The 23,728-nt window shown below is 36.1% G+C and overlaps 1 long non-coding RNA gene and 1 pseudogene across 1 annotated transcript in view, besides 1 other annotated feature; one reads left to right on the top strand and one right to left on the bottom strand.

Annotated features, from left to right (window-relative positions):
• LOC105377998 (uncharacterized) overlaps positions 1-13,982 on the bottom strand; it is a 49,280-nt gene extending 35,298 nt beyond the window's left edge. The window contains exon 1 of the long non-coding RNA XR_001744339.2: positions 13,952-13,982. This is a non-coding gene — a long non-coding RNA (uncharacterized LOC105377998). The remainder of the gene's footprint in view (positions 1-13,951) is intronic.
• Positions 5,834-7,033: an enhancer, noted in NCBI's record as "P300/CBP strongly-dependent group 1 enhancer chr6:128976681-128977880 (GRCh37/hg19 assembly coordinates)". NCBI's record gives its function as "activates an origin of replication core promoter dependent on BRD2, BRD4, P300/CBP, MED14 and CDK7 cofactors, with strong dependence on P300/CBP, by STARR-seq in HCT116 cells {active_cell/tissue: HCT116}" and the evidence as "EXISTENCE:reporter gene assay evidence [ECO:0000049][PMID:35650434]".
• On the top strand, positions 22,916-23,381 carry RPL21P64 (ribosomal protein L21 pseudogene 64; annotated as a pseudogene).

Below are 23,728 nucleotides of genomic sequence, written 5' to 3'. Positions count from 1 at the left end.
AACAGAAAAAATGTTCAATTTCAATTTTAGCTCAGTACAATCATACACTCACAAATTTGTGAAACATGAGATTATAATATAAAGGAACCCCACTTCAATATTTTAATTTAAGATTGTTTTCATAGAACACCAACTTAAAGTAATCCTATGTCTGCCATCAATCTCCTTGGCTTGTCTATTTCTTCTGTATTATTAATGCTTCTTAATAGAGATGTAAATTTAATCAGCACTGTGGACTTCAGTCAAAATCTATAAAATAATTGAAAGAAATTAAACACATGTTTTTTGCTTGATTAGTTCAACTCATTTTATTTATGACTAATCTTTTCTGTTAATTTATTGTTTTTCATTTCAATTAACTTCAATATATTATAAATATGGTTATTGGTTATTTTTATCACCTCTAAAAATATATGTAAGCTACACAGGCCCTTTACTAGTTTCTCTACATACACATAAGCCATTCAGTAACTCTCTGAGTTAATATGTATTATCTCTGTCTTACAGGTGACACAACCAAGACTGATGAAGTTAGGTGTTTTCTCTCTGATCTTCAAAGTGTGCTACTGTGTTTGAGATTATAAAGCAGGTGTGTCAATCTTTTGCCTTCCCTGGGCCACATTGGAAGGAGAACTGTCTTGTGCCACACATAAAATACACAAACACTAATGATAGCTGATGAGCTAAAAAAAAAAAAAAAAAAAAAAAAAATCACAATTTTTTATTTCTTCCAAAAAAAAATGGGGTACATGTGCAGAACATGTAGGTTTGTTACATAGGTATACATGTGCCTTGGTGATTGGCTGCACCTACTAACCCATCCTCTAAGTTCTCTCCCCTCACCTCCCCACCCCCCAACAGGCCCTGGTGTGTGTTGTTCCCTCTCTGTGTCCCTATGTTCTCAATGTTGAACTCCCACTTACAAGTGAGAACACACAATGTTTGGTTTTCCATTCTTGTGTTAGTTTGCTGAAAATGATGGCTTCCAGCTTCATCTATGTCCCTGCAAAGGACATGATCTCATTTCTTTTTATGGCTGCATAGTATTCCATGGTGCATATGTACCACATTTTCTTTATCCAGTCTATCATTGATGGGCATTTGGGTTGGTTCCATGTCTTTGCTATTGTGAATAGTGCTGCAATAAACATACGTATGCATGTGTCCTTATAGTAGAATACTATTTTGGTATTTTGGGTATATACCCAGTAATGGGATTGCTGAGTCAAATGGTATTTCTGGTTCTAGATCCTTGAGGAATCGCCATTCTGTCTTCCACAATGGTTGAACTAATTTACATTCCCACCAACAGTGTAAAAGCATTCCTATTTCTCCACAGCCTCGCTAGCATCTATTGTTTCCTGACTTGTAAATTCTGGGTATTAGACCTTTGTCAGATGGTAGATTGCAAAAATTTTCTCCCATTCTGTAGGTTGCCTGTACACTCTGATGATAGTTTCTTTGCTGTGCTGTATCTGTTTAGTTTAATTAGATCCCATTTGTCAGTTCTGTGTTTTGTTGCAATTGCTTTTGGCAAAACTCATAATGTTTTAAGAAAGTTTAAAAATTTGTGTTGGGCCGCATTCAAAGCTGTCCTGGGCTGCATGCGGTTTGTGTGCTGCCAGTTGGACGAGCTTACTATAAAGCAAAACAATAAAAACGTGAATGCTCTTAAATGTTAGAGAAATTATTCATCAGATTAAGTTAAGATAACTTTAAATTTCACTTGTTTCAAAAACGGTATTCCTTTTTGAGTGTCATATCAACTTGCTGTGTGTTACTTCCTTCCCACTCCTCCTCACTTTTGTCATCTTTTGGTACCTTTCTTTTTACAGTGACTTATACTTTGCTTCACCTTCTGTAATGCCATATTTTCAAAAACTGCTCTTTATCTGTTCCAACCTGCCCTTTCAACTTGAACATCCTTCATCCTGAGACGCCAAATATTTTTCCACTGTAATTTATATACATCATTATTCAGACTTGACCCTACTTGTCACAACTGCCTTTAAATACATTTTTTAAAAGAGGCCACAGGTAATATTCACGTTGTAGTACTGTGTCACCAAGATAAAACAGTTAGAGTTCGGACTTCTTTAAGTCTGGTGTTTGCAGTTTATGTTCCTGCAGTACTGTGTACACACAACTGAAAATCAATAGGAAGTTAATGGAAAGCAAATACCATAGGGAGAATCAGGCACTACACAAAACATACTTATAGAGCAAGAGAGAAAACATTTCAAGCAAATGGATAAAAACAAGTTTGGAAAGTTGAAGAAAAAATGGATCGGTTGTTTTATATGATGCTTACTTTTAGGGAATCTATAACTTGGCCTTAGGTTCAATATGCTTTCACTTTCTCATATTATAAAAAATGTCTGTTTGGAATACCTTGAGGGAAACACCCTGATTAAGATGATTCACCAGGGTGTACTAGGAGGTTCATATATCTTCATATTTTCAGAATTGTAAGAAACAAACTCTCAAAGGCTTGAGTATATCTTAAATGATGAATGTAATGAACAGCTCAGATAGAATGTGCTAAGCTCAAAGTTGCTCCAGCCATGACGCCTCTATCCAGGGAGGTAGAATAACTCTGGCTTGCTGAATATTCCTATGGGCCAAAAAGCCACTCTTCAGATAAGCATTTATAAGCATTTGCTGAGTACTTCGTATGTGCTCCAAATGAGCACAGACTTGATGTTCCGTATTTCAATCATTCATTGAATTATTAATTTAAAAAAGAGGTTGTATAGCACAATGGTTAAGACTGTATATTCTGCAGTCAGATAGAACTAAAAATACATGTGTGTAAAGTACTTAATTATTTACTTGGCCCACAATGTGTGGACAATAAAAGTAATCTAATGTTCCTACCTGATAGTATTAGTAAGTTTCTTGTTGCCACTTCAAATTCAGTGGCTTAAAACAAAACAGATTTGTTACCTTATAATTCCAGAGATAAGAAGTTCAAAATAGGTCCTGCTAGACTAAAATCAAGGTGTTTTCTGTATACTTTCCTCAAAGCTTCAGGGGAGAATGTTTTCTTGCCTTTGTTTGCTGCTAGAGAACACCTGTTTGTGGTCTCCTAACATCAACATCTTCAAAGCCAGCGACAGACTGGCAAGTCTTTCTCACATTGAATAACTCTGACTCCAGTCCTTCTGCCTTCCTCTTCTATATTTAAGGGCCTTTGTGTTTACATTACACCCATCTCAATAATACAGGAAAATATTCTTATTCTGAGGTCAATTGATCAGCAACCTTAATTCCACCTGCAACCTCACACCCCCTTGCCATGAGGTTATGCCAAGACAACATCTTCACAGATTCAGAGATAAGGAGGTAGATATCTTTGTCAGCCATTATTCTGCCTACAACATACTGAGTAGTTAAACAATATTATTTACTCTACTAACCTTAACATTTTAAAACTATGCATAATAGGAAAAGAAATTGACATTTACAAGCTCCTTTTCTAAATAGTACAGTAATAGCAAGTAATAACAAAATAAACTAACTCTATGTGTCTTGTTCATTAAGCTAAACATATTTTTTACAAATAAAAGTTTATAAGAACAATTAAATATGATTGTAAATTATAGAAATGTAGAAATATATAATATATATATTTTCCAAGTTTTTACTGACCCCCTGAAATCCACACAATAACTCCAAACGTCCCTGGCCTTGGTGAGAAAGCTCTGTTCTGTTGGAGAATTACATAAAGAGATCATTGAGGAAAAGAATGGATTTCTAATGCTAAAGATGCAGCCCAAAATGGCCAAGCACCTCCTATTGGACCTGGTGCATAGCTCATGCTTAAAATCTTCTAGTTTCCTTGTTCTCTTTTCCTTCCCAGTGCCTGAAGGTTTCGAGAAGTCTGAGCATGTGAGTTAGGAAGCAGAAAAAAGAAAAGCCTAAATGAAATGGTGTAAGGAGGTATCAAATAAAGTAGCATCGGGTTTATTTGATATTTGAAGCCTTTCCATTTAGGATGTTAGATTTCTTAGGCAAGATAATTCTTTGCACTCACTGCATCCCTCTGACAAAGCTAGACAATGTGTATCATTTTCTGCATTTTAAGTCACATGACTAACACTTATTTCAAGAAGAAAATTAATGTCAAAGGCATAAAAAAAAGAACACAGAAATTTAAATCCATACACTTTTGCATTTCTACCAGTTTTTGTTACAAGTAATTATAAAGTGATTTTAAAAAAAAATCCACATGCCCACTGGAACAAGTCTACTATTTTAAACATCTGGCCTAGAAAATATATGCAAAGATACTTTATTTCACTTTCTTAAAGAATCATTCCTTGTCACCCAGACCTGGTCAAGTTCCTTCAGCTTAAACTTTAATGGTTCTCCTTAACAGTACTCATTACAGTAATAATGAATGAATAAATGTATACTTAATTATTTAATACCTTCCTTCTCCATCCCACAAGAATGTGAGCTCCATAATGGAAGGGCTGTGTTTGCCTTGGTTTCTGCTGTATATGCCGGTTTTGTCCAGTACCCTATGCCTATATAGCTTCTAAATGAAAAAAATAAAGGATTAACTAAACTTATTAATCATGAGACTCTTTCTAGATTGATTCTGTATGGATTATCTAGTTTAACTAAGTGTTATTTCCAGTCTTCTCTTATTACTCTTCCATTTTGTGTCTGCCCCTTCTCCAGGCTAGGTATTGATACTTAACCAGTCTCTCCCACGGTTTTCTAACCTAGCTCAAGCTTAATTTCTTTTGTCTTAGAAATTATAAGATCTGGTAGTAATATACAAAACTAGCTTCTGCCTTGACCTCAGCCTCTTTCTTTTGTGAACTGCCTTCATATGCTGCCCAGAAGGTGGTATATAATTTATCTAGTTCCTACTCTTAGGGTGAATGTTGGATACTCCATCTGACAGCTTACACCAAACTTATTACAAAAAAGGGAAAAAACTTGAATTCTTTATTAGTTAAAACTCCTGAATTAGAAGTACTATAAACTAAATTTAGCTAAAGTAAGTGAAAGAGAGAATTTATTATAAAGATATAAGTACATTTTATTAATGACCAAGAACAGAAATGCAGGCTGGTTTTAGAGAAACACTGGAACTAGGAAGCAGAAGACATAAAAATCCCAGGAAATTCCCTTCCTCCTCTCACTTCTGCTTCTTACTGAGCATTAAGTTCATTTATTCACCTCTTTCTCTGAACACCCCAGTGATATCATAACTAAGATATCTCTTCTACAGTGTCCTAAGATTACATCTTATTCATTCAAGTGACTCTCCTTGTTTTCAATTTAAATTTTACAGCCCAGATTTAAAGTCCCAGGAAAATAATGCTAATTAGGCCATCTTGATTCAGATGGTCACTGGATTAAAATAAACCATCATCAAAGAGGAAGAATCAGATTGTGCCAACAGGGCTATTATGGACCCACCCCCATGCTGCTATGGATTAGCCAAGTGATGAGAGGAGTAGTCAGGAAGGAGAAAAATATGAGAGACGGAACAACACTCTAATATGTCTACAAAAATAAAATATATATTCAAAAATCTACCAGAAAATGGAATTTAATGCTTTTCAGGTCTCTAGATTAAATATTAATTCATTCGTATACATTAAAGAGAAGAAACAATAAATGTAAAGATTTTATACTTTTTACTATATTAGAATTTTAATTCTGTTCCAGCCTGGGCAACATAGCAAGATTCCACTGCTACAAAATAATTTTTTTAATTAGCCAGTCATAGTGCATGTATGGAGTCCCAGGAGTTTGATGTTACAAAGCTATGATTGAGCCACTGCACTCCACCCTGGGCAAAAGAGCAAGACCCTGTCTGCCACTGCCTCCCCTCACCGACCAATCCACCACAAAAAAAATTATTTTAATTCTATGGACAATGAAATAGAACCAAAATAAGGGCAAGGTCAAACTAGAAGATATTAACAAATAAATAATACCCAAAAATCTAGATTATAAAGGAGCTCATACAAATAAGATAGATGGTCCTAGCAAAGATTTTTTTTTAAATAGGAATATGTTCAAAAATTCTTAATTCACAGTAATTATAGTCACAACATTTACAATGAAATTGATCTTTGAGATAAAACTGGTAAAAATCAACACAAAATTACTGAATTACTCATATATAAGAATGACTCATAGGACTATCAGTATTTGTGAATAAAGAGTTTTGGAAACCCCAAGTGAGATGACTAATTAGCAAAGATTGTAATGTCACTGGGACTGAGAGAGCTACAAACTTACCACAAAAGAAAGAGGGTTTATCAAGCAGGGGTATGTTGGCATGCAACAAAAGGAAACGGAGACCAAGAGGGCTAGATTCACAGGGAATCTCCACCATTGTCCTGGAGAGAGGATGTCTAGTCAGCTGACATGAGCTTCCTTGCCTATGTGAGAGATATGTCTGACAATGAGGAAATGATGCCTTAAAATTGATTGACATCACCACAAAACATTTCATTTCCCTGGCTAACACCACTCAGGAGCCAGTATACTCTAATCCCTGACAAACTGCTCAGGTCTCTTTGGAGAAAGCTACATTTTGCTGGTCAGAGTACCAGAGGGGAAAGTTACACAGAGATTCAGAAATCTTCACAGGATCTCCCTTCCCTCAAGGCTTTGGCTGAGTATTAATCAGGGTATTTCTGTGAGGAAACTCTCTGAGGATGGAAAAAGAACAACCCAAAAGGATTAGAGGAGAAAATTTACAGAGTTTTCACAGGGCCAAGAATAGTTTCTCTACCCACTAGTCAGAGTGGAAAATGGGGCATTGAGTAGTATATGCATAATGGCTTTTCTTCAGTAGCGTGACAAAATTAGCTGCTCTAATCCCACCTAACAAAGATTAAATTCAAGACCTGAAAGAACCCATCTGTTTCCGAGTAACTTAACTATGTCCCAGAACAAAGCTCAACAACATTTATAGTAATACAAAAATATCCATCACTCAATGAGGTAAATTTCACAAAGTCTGCCATACAAACATAAAAAAGCAGGAAAATAAGACTCATAACGAAGAGAAAAAATTAAATCAAAACTGACCCAGAAATTATGAAGATGATAGAACATATAAACAAAGACATTAAAACAGTTATTACAACTCTATCCAGGTGTTCAAGAACCAATAGGTCCCAGATATCTATGTTAGTTTTCTGCCTTAATGATGTGTCTAACACTGTCAGTAAGGTGTTAAGTCTCCCACAATTATTGTGTGGTTATCTAAGTCTCTTTATAGGTCTCTAAGAATTTGTTTTATGTGGCCCAATGTTGGCTGCCTAAATATTTAGGATAGTTAAGTTAAGTTAGGATAGTTAAGTTAAGTTAGGATAGTTAAGCTTAATAGAGGAAATATTAAGCATTTTAAATAGAAACATGGATGATATGAAGAAGACCTAACTCAAACCAGAGATAAAAATAGCAAAGTAAAAATAAGCTTTAATGCTTAATTCAAATCATACATAAAAATTAACTTAAATCATAGCCCTAAGTGTGAAAGTTAAAACTGTAAAACTTCTAGAATAAAATATAGTAGAAAATATTTGTGACCTTGCTATACTGTTTATATTGTTTTTTGTGTTATTTTTACATACTATGTAGAAAGCATGAACGTAAAAGAAAAACTGATGCTTGTACTCCATCAAGATTAAAAATGACTGCCCTTTGAAAGACACTTTGACAAAAATAAAAAGGCAAGATAAAGTCTGGGAGTAAACATTTACAGTACAAATTTCTGACAAAGGATTAGTTTCCAGAATATATAAAGACCTCTTACAACTAAATAATAAGAAAAACAATCAAATTTTAAATGGACAGAGAGTTGAACTGATGCATCACATAGAAAGATATATAAATTGCTAATGGGCATATGAAACATCATTAATCAACAGAAAAATCAAAATTAAGTCCACCAAATGCCCGTTAGAAATTGCTAAAGTTAAAAGTCTGACAATACAAAATACTGGCAAAAATGTGGAGCAATTAGAACTCTACTATAATGTTGGTGGGAATAATCAACCATCATTTGGAAAACATTTTGTGAGTCCCTTGTAAAGCGAAACATGAACAGAACATTCAAACCAGTCATTTAATTCTTATTTACCCAAGAAAATTAGTAATACTTGTTTACAGAAAGAAGAAGACATTTATGCAGCCAAAAACACATGAAAAAAATGCTCACCATCACTGGCCATCAGAGAAATGCAAATCAAAACCACAATGAGATATCATCTCACACCAGTTAGAATGGCAATCATTAAAAAGTCAGGAAACAACAGGTGCTGGAGAGGATGTGGAGAAATAGGAACACTTTTACACTGTTGGTGGGACTGTAAACTAGTTCAACTATTGTGGAAGTCAGTGTGGCGATTCCTGAGGGATCTAGAACTAGAAATACCATTTGACCCACCCATCCCATTACTGGGTATATACCCAAAGGACTATAAATCATGCTGCTATAAAGACACATGCACACATATGTTTATTGCGGTACTATTCACAATAGCAAAGACTTGGAACCAACCCAAATGTCCAACAATGATAGACCGGATTAAGAAAATGTGGCACATATACACCATGGAATACTATGCAGCCATAAAAAATGATGAGTTCATGTCCTTTGTAGGGACATGGATGAAATTGGAAATCATCATTCTCAGTAAACTATCGCAAGAACAAAAAACCAAACACCACATATTCTCACTCACAGGTGGGAATTGAACAATGAGAACACATGGACACAGGAAGGGGAACATCACACTCTGGGGACTGTTGTGGGGTTGGGGGAGGGGAGGGATAGCGTTGGGAGATATACCAAATGCTAGATGACGAGTTAGTCGGTGTAGCGCACCAGCATGGCACATGTATACATATGTAACTAACCTGCACATTGTGCACATGTACCCTAAAACTTAAAGTATAAATAATAAAAAAAAAGATTTAAAAAAAAAGAACTTGTACAAGTATATCCAACACAGTGATGGGTAAACAAATTGTGATATATTCAAACAATGGGATACTACTCAGCAGTGAAACAGAACCAACTACTGATATACGCAACAGCATGGATGAATCTCAGAATCTTTATATAGTGAAATAAAACCAGGCATAAAAGACTATACACTGTATGATTCCACTTATGTAAAAATCCAGAATAGGCAAAACCAATCTATAGTGATAAAAATCAGATCAGTGTTTGTTTGGGGCAGGAATAAGTGCAGGTACTGACTGCAAAAAGGCACTGGGTAATTTTTGAATGAAGGAAATATTCTATATATTCGGTTTCGTGAAGGTCATACAGGGAGAACATTTGCCAAAGCTCATCAAATTCTGCACTTAAAATGAATGCATTTTGGTATGTAAATTAAATCTCAATAACATTGATTTAATTTTTTAAAGAGTGTATAGCAGCATTCCATTATCAAACTGAAGTGGCGTATGTGCAACTGAGCTCAATTAGTCCTGAAAGCACAGGTGTGTTGTGCTATAGAGAAAAATTCAGCAAGCTCACATAAGTTTGGCATAAGTTGCCCTTCACACCAGCCAGAGTAGAAACATGAGATATGGGGTAGAATTTGAACTGATGGCAAAATTTGAACTTTTGGCATCAAAAGCTTGCATTGACAACTATACCACACACCACATTTGGGACCTCAGGGGGAGTTCATCATCAAGTGACTGAGGTAAAACAAATCAGTCCTGGTTTGTAGATATGTCCACACAATAGTCTTGTACCATGTAGCATTTCAGTCCCACTATGTAATGGCCGTTAAGGATTGGGGAAAAAGGAAATCTTTCTAGTGGGCAGAACTGCATTCAATTTTTTTTTTCTTTTTTGGAAAGAGATGCCATATCTACACTGGACAATGGAAAGTGGTTTTCTCATTTCTCCGGATTTTGAAGAAAATAAAATAAGGGATTGATAACACAAAGGTCTGAGTAAGAAATGGTAAACCTCTGGGAATGGTAAGAGTTTGAAATTTTTTGTGCCCCAAGTAATTGCTCACAAACAGGCTTCAACTGCAAGGCATTTTTCGAATAATAAAGTCGAGATAACGCTTTCTGTGAATATTAGCCACCCTCTTCCCAGCCATTTGAGCTTGACCAATGGGCTCATAAATAAAATGGTCAAAGTGTCAGTGATAGAGACTATGCATGGGCTCAAAAGCAGGGTCTTCTCTTCAATAAGACTATTCTAGCTATCACAGTTGCTAAAAACATAGTATGTTGTCAGCTGAGTTTGATGCTGATTTCCTTCTGTGGCACTATTCTTGAGGGGATCTGCTAGCCATGTTGACTACCTCCATCATGGAAGAAAGAACAGCATGTTTTACCAGAATAAACACAGTAGATATGAATGTGCCATCCCTGTCTGCTCTGCCTTTGTAAAGTACCAGTATCCACAGGCTAATGGAAAGCCTGATTCTCTTTAATGATGCCCATATAACTTTGCTCCTGGCCAAAGAACACATTGACCAGCAAAGAATGAGGGAAATGTTCACATCTGTAGAATTTATTGGTCTTACAGTGTACCACATCACCTCAAGTTGGCCTGCCTGACATAACAGTGGAATGCCCTATTAAAAACTCATTTTGGGTGCTGGCTAAGTAATAATACCTTGTTTGGCTATGTGCTGTCCTGAAAGATTTCATATATGTTCTGAACTAGCAAACAATATGACAACATGACACTATCTTTTCCCATGGCCAGAAGACATGGATAAAGGAGCCAAGAAGTGGGAATGGGAGTGGTTCCTCTCTCTGTTATTCTTAAAGACCCAATCACAAAAGATTTGCTTTTTGTATTAGTCCATTTTCACACTGCTCTAAAGATACAACTTGAGACAATGTAATTTACAAAGGAGAGAGGTTTAATTGACTTATAGTTCTGCATGGTTGGGGAGGCCTCAGGAAACTTACAATTATGGCAGAAGGCAAAGGGGAAGTAAGGCACCTCTTACATGGCGACAGGAGACAGAGAAAGTGGGGGGAACTGCCAAACACTTTTATAACCATCAGCTGTTGCGGGAACTCATTCACTTTCATAAGAACAGCATGGGGGAACCATCCCCATGATCCAATCACCTCCCACCAGGTCCCTCCCTCAACACCTGGGGATTACAATTCCAGATGAGATTTGGGTGGGTATAAAGATCCAAACCATATCACTTCTCTTAACCACTTTTGGCTCTGCAGGTTTAGAGGACTTAATTTCTAAAAAATGAATGCTTACACTAGTGGACCTAACAATGATTCTACTGAATGTGAAATTTAAACTATCACTTTGAATTCTTCATGCCACTAAGGCAACAGTCAAAGAAGGGCTTGCTGTACTAACCGGAGTGAATAATATTGATTGTCAAGGAGAAATAGAGTTGCTGCTGCATAATAAAGGCAAAGAGGATTCAAAGGATTCTCTGGATTGCCCCTCAGTACTTGTATATCTAGTGTAAAAGGTTAGCAAAGGAGTAGAGCAACCCAAAAAAGCAAGGCTACTAGTGGCTCTAGCCCTTCAAAAATGAGGTTTTGCATCATCCCATCAAGTGAAGAACCATGACCAGATAACGCGCCCACTGAGAACAAATCAAATGGATAGGGAGAAAGCAAAATCGTAAAGACCAATTATGGCCTCTTATTCACTTGTAGAAACGAAGCATGTGAAAGCTAAGCCTATTTCCTTTTCTGATTTATGATGTACATAGTTGCATATATTAACCAGTTTTTTGCCACCATCCTCATCTTTTATCTAATGCGAAGTGTATTAATAGAGATTTACCTTATAATTTAGTCTATAAGTTAAAAGATACCAAAGGAGAATTGGAACTGAGTTAGAAAAAGAATGAACATCACCCCAAAATAGCATACAGTGATTTATAGAACTTTGTGTCTACCCCTGTAGGGAGAGAGTGTATACATATATGTATATGTATATATGGCTGGATAAGACATAGTTAGATCATATCATGTGGAAGCATGAAGTTGGATGGTTGTTTTTGAAGTTAGAATGTGGGTAGAAGAGTATATACGAATGCTAGGTTGACAAAACATGGCTATGCCAGATTTGTCTTCAACTTGACATCATTACTGTGCCTGTTTTATCATTTTGTCTACTTCAACAAAGAGAAACCCAAAACTCCCTTCCCAGTACCCATTTAACTGGATGGCTACAGATTACTCTGCAAATGACAAGCAAGCTTGTAGTAAGGGTATCAAAGCAGAAAAAAGCATTCTTTTCTATCAACAATTAAGGAAATATGCACATGCAGGCATGAGCTTCTGTGCATGACAGCTTTCAAATCAGCCACTTTGAGTATCTCAGGCAGCAGGAATGTTGATTCTTAAGATTCACAGCAGCTTCCAGATGAACTTTTGAGAATGCTCTGTAGGTCTACTCAACAGGGAGACTTTCCTGATCTTCACTCTGCAGCCCTAACAATGATTATACCTACAATTACTGTATCGAAACCCTTCCTATCTGAATATCCAGAGTGGCTTCTGGTTTCCTGACTAAAACCTACCCATACAGTAAAATACGACAAGTTTGAAATGGCCAGAAATTGATTGATAAATAGTCCTTTAGACAATTTAAAGGGAGAAAAATAACAGCAACAACAAAATACACCTCCGTCAGTTCTGGTGAAGTCAAAGATCAGGAATTTTTGCTACATAATGATCTATTCTCAAGCACTACACATACAGGAAATAGAAGAGCTATTGGCTTAGTCTGCTTAGTGTTGTTCTAAAGAAATAGCTGAGACTGGGTAATTTATAAAGAAAAGAAATTTATGTAGCCCATAGTTTTGCTGACTGGAACTGGAACATTCAAGATTGAGCATCTGGTGAGGGCCTCAGGCTGCTTCCACTAGCTGGAAGGTGAAGGAAAGCCAGAGTGTGCAGAGATCAGATGTACAGAGAGCAACCAAGACAAAGAAGGAGGAGGTGCTAAGCTCTTTTTAACAACCAGCTCTTATGGGAAATAATAAAGTGAAACCTCACTCAGCACCAAGAGAGAACATTAATCTGTTCATGCAGGATGTGTCCCATGACCTAGGACCCACCTCCCAGCATTGCCACACTAGGAATTAAATTTCAACATGATATTTGCAGAGAACAAACATCCAAACAATAGCAACTATTGTCTTAATCTACTATAAGAAATATTTGAAAATACTGTTTTCCTCTGGCTACACATTTTTTTGATAAGAAATGGAGGAAAAGTGGTCTACCACATAAGCATGAGCTCAAAGCTTTAGTCAAATGAATGAACCACCTTCATGGTTCTTACCATGGGAGGATAATCCTCCACAGGCATATCTCTCAACCAGATTTCACAGTTAATCTCAGCAAATTCATTATTGGTGAGCTTGTGTTACTATACATAGCCTACCATATTTAATATCATAACAATATAATTAAAATATTTTGTAAATTATTCATTTTAGATTGTTGAAAATATGGTATTTAATATCAGATGGCATTAAATGATGACTGAGTTAGTAAGAAACAAAAATAAATTTCTCTTTCCTGTTCCAAGAAACATTTCATGCCAGTGAGTAAAAATTAGATTTCTGTTTCAAAATTAATCATAAAATTAATGTTAATTTAGAAGAGATCCTTATGCATGCAACAATTAAGGAAAATACTTCTATGAGCCTTCTGAATAAAGGCTCACTTCTAAGTATTAAAAGTTCAAATTGAAAATGCTCTATGTTTGTGATTTTATGTTTAGTTTTAAAAACATTACTCCCACTTAACAGAAAATACTTGTGAGTGTCAAAAAGAAACGTTACGGTCGATTACTGCTCCTAGTAAGAGCATTTAAATATTTCATTGTTATAGAGAATCCATCATTCAAATCACTGAATATTTATTCCCATTTCATGTGTTAAAAACAAGACTAAATTAAAGAAGTTATTAAAGATCTATTTACCTTGTGAGAAGTAAATGAAGCTTTTCCAACTAAAAATAATCCTGGCCTCTTGCTACATTTTTAGCAAGCTTCTAAATGACATACTGATATGGGAAAAGTTAGACAGCTATAGTGAACCCAGTGTGCCTTTTGGCATAGAGTCAAACAATATTCTATCAAGCAACACTACTGTCTACTATATAATGTGACACCTAAGTCTATCAGTTACTTCATATTCAGCTTTCAGATAAGTTTCACTGTTGACATGTTCCTCTTAGCATCAAGTGACAAGAGAAAGTGTCCAGTAAAAAAGTTCTGAACTGCAGGCTCTCCAGAGGCATGACAACCTAATCTATGTTCAACTAAGCATTTTGGTTAACCGATAAAAATGTAACCAGTGACAACTAATTGTGGGAGAAGTTGATTCTAAGGCAATTGCACAGAGGGCAGAATACCTGAAGTGGTTCCAGAGCACGTTACAATCCAATCTGAAATGATGCATGAACAAGAGGAGCCAGAAAGTGATAATAGCAGAGCAGCTATAGCTGTCAAATATGGAGCAGGGGAGAAAGTGTAAGTTTGGGAAAGACTGAACAAAGCTACAATTTGCAAATGATCTAAAAGAAGTAGCATTTTCTAGATGACAGAAAGGGCAAATGATGAATATTTTCAGGCAGTATTGTTTAGTTTTTTGAAAATATATGTGATTATATGAGAAAATAATAATTGCCATTTGTTGACACTGATACATCAAGCATTTATCAAACAGACCTTTTATGTCATTACCATATATAATCCTTGTAACATCACCTTAAGATAGTCATTATTATCCTCATTTTGTAAGTGAGAAAACTAAATTTCAGAAGCTAAATGACTTTTCCAAGATCACATAGCCATGAAGTAGAAGTTGATATTTGATCCCAAATCTATAGATCTCAAAGTCCAAGTCCCTTTCCTATTCAAAAATTGAGAACCCTATATGTATCAGAGAACATGTACGTATATAAATGTGTTCTATATGAACACAGAATATACACATATTCTTAGATGATTATTCATACACATATCTTAGGACATTTTGATGACTATGCTCAGCAGTATGAGGAGAACAAATGCTGTATTGGCCCTTTCTCTGCTCAACCTACTCACTGCTTTGAAAAACTAAGAGGCATACAATTCTGAAAAAAATGGAGACACGTTTAAGAGAGAAATGGCATTAGGACAGATTAAGAGTAGGTTAAATGACTCTAGTTGCTCTTCTGAGATTTTCATAGTACTGAAACAATCGTCCCTGGAGAAAGTAAATATTGAATATGGCATTTATTAGACAGAAGTAAGGGATTTTCACAAGGACTCTTTTAGAGGAAAAAACATCACCATTTGGCGAAATTCTGGATATCTCTGAAAAAAATAAAAAGTTGTTTGCTACTATTTGCCACAAAATAAGCAGCTTGCGGGAGTGCTGCAGAGGATAGATCGGAAGCATATAAAAATTAGCCAAAATGATTCAGAAACTGGAAGCCGTTTTCCTAGAGAAAAAGCTAAAAATATACTCCTGTATTCAACACAGAAAGTTCTGGAGAGTGATAAATTCTCTATTGTTATTGTGTTTTTACCTCAAGTTTGAAAAAAAAATGGTGTTTTCTTCAATTTATTGAGGCTAATAATTCAATCATAAACACCTGTTCATTTGCTTACCTCAAGCAGCTGTCTTTAGAGACCCTCTGCTATTTTTAAAATTTCCTTCCTTGCTTTGTTTTAGTCAACCTAGTAGGGGGTTCTGAATATCTAGGATGTGTTTCCCTGATAGCTCAACAGAAAAAAAAAAGGTGAATAAAATTATCTGTATCTGTAGGTAATATAAGAGCAAACCAGCATCTTTCTCTAACTAACTGGACAATCTTCAGTAACTCAGTAGCCTTGTAGCCCTGTTTGTGCCTCATCTTCCTCCACTATGAAATAAGGGAATTGGATTAGACAGCATCTACAAATTTATCAGCCCTTATTTCTGTGATTTTGTACACCAAACAGTTAATTGTGGCTGACACCAAGAAGTGGGTATCTCTGAGAATGTCGCCCTCCATACTATATACTTTTATTACAGCACTTGTTTATTTTTTTAAATAATGAACATGTATTACTTTTTAAAACAGAAACATCAATATTGATTTTTTATTCTAATATTTTATGGTAAGCGACGTAACAAAATTCTGTTGCCTTTGATGCATACCATGGTAAATATATACTAAGTGTCCTCTAGAAATAATCTTCTGTCCACACATTTTAAACAACAGGCACAGTAATCTCTACTCCTCCTTTTACACTTAGAGGGGATCGGTTTCATTGGTCCTTTTAGTGAATAAATACCTCATTCTTTTCACTCGTTTCCTTTGTTTCCCAACTTTATTTTATATACCCTCACAAGTGACTCGACTGGGCCCCTCACACTATCTGACCAAACTCAGCATGACTTGAACCTCTAAAAAGAAAACCTTGCTTTTCCCTTTTGATCGTTTTAAGGGTATGTCAATCTCTGAATATCACTTTCTTGTTCTAGGAAGAATAAGTCTGGTCACCACTGCCAGGTCGTTATCAAGTTTCTCTTGCTTTTGTGATAAGCGTTTGGGATATCAACTAACTGAGGGAGGGCTCCCTGAAACTCTCGCTGGAGCTAGATTCCCTGAATTATCTTCATCTGGCCCACATCTCAGTGCATCAATGGAGCTAAGGCCTGACAGCTAGATTATAATGTTGCCTTTGTGTAACATGAAAAAGTTTCCTATTTGTCTGTCAAATGTAAATTTACTAGGTCTGGTGTCTACAAGGTGGCTTTGAGGAAGGAATGCTTGTGGAGGTAGTCTAGTTTGAGTTTTGAAGCAGCACGGATTTTTGTGTGTGTTTTTTTTTTAATCTGTAATTTAAACCATTTCTTTACAAACAACTGTTCTTCAAGCCCCCAAAAATTAATTTGGCAACTTTCTTTCTTTTGGTTTCCGTCTTGATAAACTATGGCATAAACCTATTTGCCCAGCCATGCACTTTTGAATAATAACCCCGGATTTGGATAAATAACCCCACAGAGTATCCTGGCTCCAGTTCCCACCCAGTCTTTTAAATAGAACAATGTCATCTCATCTGGATGGCTAGGTCTGATGTGTCAACTAAAAGAGGGATTAGGGCACTCAGGAAAGTGACCCTTCCACTCTTATTCTCCCACCTTCACTCCCCAGTGCTCTTACAATAGCAGATGCTATTGTGGCCACCGTACTCCTAGACACCTACCACCACTGCCTTCCTACGCTTTACAGCTGATTTCACCTTCTACCGTCTTACAGGTACACTATTGGCAATCACTTTCCTCCCCAACCAATCAGAATGAGGCTGTTTTCCCACACAAGAGTTATTTTATTCACTGTGTGTGTTTTCTAGGGCTGCCATAACAAATTACCACAGATTTGCTAGCCGAAAACAACAGGAATGTGTTCCCTCACTGCTCTGAAGGCCCAAAGTCTGAAATTAAGGCATCAGTAGGACTACAGTCTCTCCAAAGGATCCAGGGAAGTATCTGCTCTTGCCTCTTCCACCTTTGGGCAACTCCGAGTGTTTCTTGTTTTGTGGCCATGCCACCCCAATTTTTGTCTCCATGGTCACATTGCACCCTCCTCTTCTGTTTGTCTCCTCTGTGTGTCGGCGTGGAATCTCCCTCGGCCTCTATTTTATGAAGACACTTTTGATGGTATTTAAAGCTCATCTGGGTCATCCAAGGTAGAATCTATTCATTTCAAAATCCTTAACTTTGTAATATCTGCAAAGACCTTTTTTTCAAAGAAGATAACGTTTATAAATTCCAACGATTTGGACTTGATATTTTGGGGCAGCCATTATTCACCTATGACAGTCAGCCACAGAAGGTCTAGGCCATAAAAATTGTACCTCTTTGAAACTCTTGAAAAAACAATTTGCAATTTCCTTTGTTAAAGGACTGATATCAGTTATCTGCATGTCCATTGATATCATATCACACTATTCTCTTAATTTTCCTTATTAACCCTGAATATCTGTCCCAAAATGCGGCACTTATTCCATCAATTTTCCCTGCCTCTGAATGATTTCCCTGCTTCCTCCATATGTCTTTCCCACCTCCTATTTTCTGAAAAATAATACTTATTCTTTTGATTAGTAAAAATATTAAAGACTACCTTTATCACCCCTAGTATTCTTTCCTTCATCAAATACTTCTTGAGTATCTATAATGCTCCGACGTCTCTGAGAGCAACTGACTTTTAATCCCAAAGTCCCATACCCTTAATTTACCGAGGAGTCCTAGGGACTTGCATGAAAACATTCTTGTAACCCATCTTATCAGTAAAGTCCTCAGTATAAACAGGATTATTGGTAGAGAGATGTAGCCGAAATTCTGAGAGCTAAAGATGGCTAAATATGCCCCCTGGTCATCCCAAAATTTTTTAAGTAGATTTTGGGATACTTGATACATCCCTTGAGGTTTTACTAGCTTCACTAAAGCATGAAGCCAGCCAGTGTGGCAGTGAGCAACTAATGGTGGAATGGAATGGTTTAACCACCTCAACCTGAGGATGGCTTCATGAAAGGGTGGATGCCAAAACCAGGAGTCAACTGTTGGGGGTGGATTACTAAGAGGTAGGAAACAAAATGCTCCAAAGCCCAGAAGAAAATTGCTCTAGCCTGGAGACCCAAACACTGGCACAAAGAAATATTCACATGAGCAGGGGTCCCACTGACACAGTAGTTGGGCAGGAAGATGTGTGAAGGGAATCTGCCTGTAGAGAAGCCAGGAATTCTTTTCACCCAGAAAATGTTTAAGCTTATTTTTCAAATTATATACTTGATGTAAACTTTTTGTAAAAAACTTGGAAAATACAGAAATAAATTTTAAAAACTAAAATTATTTATAATTCTCATTACCCAGATATAACCACAATTGATATTTTGCTGTATCTCCTCTAAGTCTTTTTATAAAAGTTCCAATGTTTATTGTTTATTATATTTTGAAGTATTTTATATATACTATTTTGCGTGCTACTTTGTTTTTCTCTTAACATTGCATGGAGATCATCTTCCCATTAAGCATTCACTGCAAACATGATTTCAATGACTGTATAATATCCTTTATGTAACTTTTCCTAAGCATTCTTCAGTGTTGGACATTTGTTTCAGACTTTATGCTATGTAAATAATGCTGAAGCAAACATTTTAGTGCATAATTCTTTATATGGGTCATTAATTATTACTATGAGTTCCTGGATATAGAAATACTAGGTCAAGACCATTAATACTTTTTTTTTTTTTTTGAGACAGAATCTCACTCTGTCACCCAGGCTGGAGTGCAGTGGCACGATCTCAGCTCACTGCAAGCTCCAACTCCCAGGTTCATGCCATTCTCCTGCCTCAGCCTCCCGAGTAGCTGGGACTACAGGCACCTGCCACCTCGCCTGGCTAATTTTTTGTATTTTTAGTAGAGACAGGGTTTCACTGTGTTAGCCAGGATGGTCTCGATCCCCTGACCTTGTGATCCACCCATCTCAGCCTCCCAAAGTGCTGGGATTACAGGTGTGAGCCGCCGTGCCTGGCCCCATTAATACTTTTAAGAATCCTTACACATAGTAAGTAATTCAGTTATTAAATTATATATAAATAAATTAATACAGTTCCTGGCATATAGAAAGTACTAAATTAATGCTAGCTAATTCTTAATAATAATTTGCCATTCAAAAGGATTAAACCAATTGGTATTCCCATTGTCATATCCTTTTAACTTCAGTCTTATTAGAAATACTTCTCTAAATCCCTTTTGAAGTTTGGGGATGGGTGTCAAATTCTGACCACCCACCAATACCAACTATCCACCCCCAGGTTCTGTACTGGTTTCAGATATGGCACTTACTAAATTCAAATTTCTCTGAACATTCAGAAATGTTCCAATGCATTAGCAATCCCTGTCAACCTGATTCATTAGAGCCATGCTGTATGTAGTTTACAGTTTTGAAAATAATGGGGATAAGGCAGAAGGACTGACACTCAGAAATAAACAAGACGGAACAACTTCCACATTAAAATACAAATTGTTCTACATTGTTTGGTATCCTCTAAGCATACCAAAGGAATAACTTTTTTATTTTATCTAAGCCTTGTCCACTGAGAAACTTCCAAGGTTAATTTTCTATTTCATAAAGCCCTTAGCATACTGTTACTGTGAACATTTGCGTCTCTCTCTCATATTCTGAAAGGCACTTTTGATTTAATACATGGGCTTGTGTTATAGTTGCCTTGCACTTGAACATAAGGATGATTTATAAGGGTTTCTTACAAGTGTGTGCTGTGCAATCCAAAAGGGCTGACCTTTGGTCACTCTTAAAATTGGGAAGAAATTAGCTCATTAAAAGGCAATACCATATCCCTTATTCAGCTGTCATGAATTTCAACTTGAAATATAATATATTTCAAGCCTAAACTTGTATTCTATTGAAGCATGATTTTGATATCACATTCCATACTATTCCAACAGTAGTTCAATATGTTTTGTGTAATTCTATTAAATTTCACCCTAATATTTCTCATAATAGCAAAGATTCAGTTATACTGGAAGAAAAATCATGTCCTCTTACTTAAAGTTTCATCATGAATTTCTCTCATTATATTACTAAGTCTACATGTGGCCATTAGCCCAGTTTCTCAATACCACTATTACAAATGAGTTCTACTGTATAACATCATTAGCTATACACATTACATCATTTAGGACATCCATTTCAGTTTGAAGGTCAGGAGTAGGGTTTCTGCCCAAAGGCCCATAACTTTCTACAGCAGGAGCCACATGTTCAGCATTAAATCCATATGTTAGATTGTGAACAACTAAAACACTGCAAATGAGTACTCAAGATATAATAAGTAAACACAAATATTAACCTATGACCTCAACACACATATTCTGTAAACTCTTTTTAGGTGAGAGACACATCTTATTCATCATTATAAGTGCTTCAAACAATGTATGCAGTAGAGATTATTTTTGTAAAAGAAGGAAAATGAGAGAAGGAAGTTAAGGAAGGGAAGGAAGGGAGGGAGGGAGGAATAGGAAGAAGGAGGGAAAGAGAAAGCAAGGAAGTAAGCGAGGGAGGAAGATCAGCGTAACATACCATACATAAAACCTTACTTGAATCTTCTACTCAGCTGCTTTTGGACAGCCTGTCCTGAAACTTTTGTGCCAAGATTATTTGTGTTGATTCATGACCATTGTCATACTAGACCTTAACTTAGTCACCTGGCTTTATTTTCTTTTATTGATGATTTTGGCTTAGTAATACAATCTTACTAGTTGGGCCTGTGATCTATAGGCCCAATTACTATACCTCCTCTGCTGTTTAAATGGATTCCTTTCTTTTTTCTAGGTTCTTCTCTATATACAATTGATTTGGTTTGGAGTCTTCTAATCTGTGCATTGGTTAAATTTGCCATTTAAACAGGAAGAGCCAAATTCCCTTGTACTGAATAATAACCACCTAACAATTTCAGCTGGCCCGCTATTCCAAAAGAATCTATACCTAGACCTCTCTGGATCTCTAAATTTTTAACTGCCTGAAGGTAATTATGAAGATCTTTATAGCTTTGCAACAGCAACCAGTAGGACTCAAAAATATCCTTATATGTAATTGGGAAGGGCTTTTACAACTGTACAGTCAGTAATTAGAGTGAAGGTGGTCTAACGTCAAGAACAGCCAAATGAAAGCTCTTTTCTCTATGTCCACCCCGCCCCCCCGTGTGTGTGTGCGTGTGTGTGTGTGTGAGTGTGTGTCTTTGACTCTTTCTTCCCTCTCTCTCTTTCTCTCCCTGTCCCCCAGCCCCCACACGGGAGTATCTGAGTGTTTTTCTTTAGGCCTGAGTAGTCTATCTTTGATCATAGAGGAAAGAATATAACCTTATATTTCAAAGCTGAGCTCTAATGTTTACAACTGTGTAACATTGGAATACGTATTTTTTAAATGATACGTTGCTTTTTTAAAATATAAAGCTGAGATATACTCATCGTCAGAAATTTAGAGTGAATAAACAAAAGAATGAAAATCATCTGTAACTCACTACCCTGATATAAGTGCTAAAGCAACTTTTACCAGTTTTCTCTGTTTTAATGTGGTTTTTTTATTTTATGTGATTCTGTGAGTCTTGTGTTGTATGTAGGTCTTTATTTTTTAAAAAACAGATGTGTGTGTATACACACCCATATACATACATATAAATGGTTGTGTGTACTATTTTTTAAATTTGGCAATATCTAGTAGGCATTTTATGATATCAAATAATAACATACTTACTAATCTTTCATTGCTTTTTTGCATTGTAACACATGAATGTACAAAAGTTTACTCAATCCATTAGCTTTGAGTCATTTAGGTTATTTGCAACTTAGTTACTTAACTTCTTGATACTTTATTTCTTAAACCGTATAAAAATGCACAAAACTTTTGCAACCTCAAAGAATAGTTGTGAGATTAAAGTATCTGACACAGTGGTTGGTATGTAATAGGTACTGAATAAGAATTAGTTTCTCTTTTTCTTTTCCAAAGTGAGATTTCATTGTCTCCCATATTTCTCCAAAGAGAAATTAACCAAAACTAAAATGGGATATGAGTAAATACTGTATGAATTGAATAGTACTGCAAATTTGGATAAATAAATAAGAAGAAGTTGCCTTCTCATACTATTACCGGGAACTACAAGCAAATTTTAAATGGCTTGCTAAACAGAATCAATCTGAATCTGAAATTATGATATTGGTATGTTTAGACAAAAACAAATTTAGATCATTTCTGAAAAGTGAAATTTACTTAATACTATACAATTGATTTTTAGAAATTAATTAGAAATTATTAAAAGTAGAATCATTAGAAATTTTTAAATTAAAAAATTAGCCTTTCAGCCAGAACCACCATCTTTCAGTAATTCACCAAAATGATGAACACACAGGGAAAGAGGATAGGCACTGATACATGTTCTCCAGTCTATTTGGAAAACAGGGAGTTGTTCATTTGGCCATGTACATGCAAACTTAGAAGAAAGGTGATACTGTAGACATCAAGGGAATGAGTCCTGTTCAAAAAGGAATGCCTCACAAGTATTACCATGGCAAAATTGGAAGAATCTACAGTGTTACCCAGCATGCTGTTGGCAGTGTTGTAAACAAGTTAAGGACAAGATTCTTGCCAAGGGAATTCATGTGCATATTGAGCATATTAAGCACTCTAAGTGCCGAGACGGCTTCCTAAAACACATAAAGGAAAATGGTCAGAGAAAGAAGCCAAAGAGAAAGGTTCCTGGGTTCAACTGAAGCACCAGCCTGCTCCACCCAGGGAAACATACTTTGTGAGAACCAAAGCCTGAGCTGCTGGAACCTGTCCCCTATGCAGTCAGGGCATAATAGGTGTAAAAGAAGCAAAAGACCTCTGGACTCTAAAAATGTTTCTTTTCATTAAGTGGAAGTGTGGTGTTCCCTCCCCTAAAGAAATATTTAAATCAAATTTTAATTGTGCCCTAATTCATTGTGTAATGTCTTTACTATTCACAGCTAATGTTTTACTTGCAGAAAGATGTGAAGTGGCTTATTGTGCAACAAATTACTCAATTGGTTAGAAAACAGGCAGATATTATTTATGAAATATTTGTACTGGTTTGTTGATAGTCCCTCTAAATCATCATGGAAGAAATAATTTACAAAAAAATGTAGAACTATTTCAAAATTAAATTTATTTTACTTATTCACCTTTT

Source organism: Homo sapiens, chromosome 6, assembly GCF_000001405.40.
Source record: "Homo sapiens chromosome 6, GRCh38.p14 Primary Assembly".
NCBI classification, from domain to species: domain Eukaryota; kingdom Metazoa; phylum Chordata; class Mammalia; order Primates; family Hominidae; genus Homo; species Homo sapiens.
This window is presented reverse-complemented; position numbering and strand designations above follow the sequence as displayed.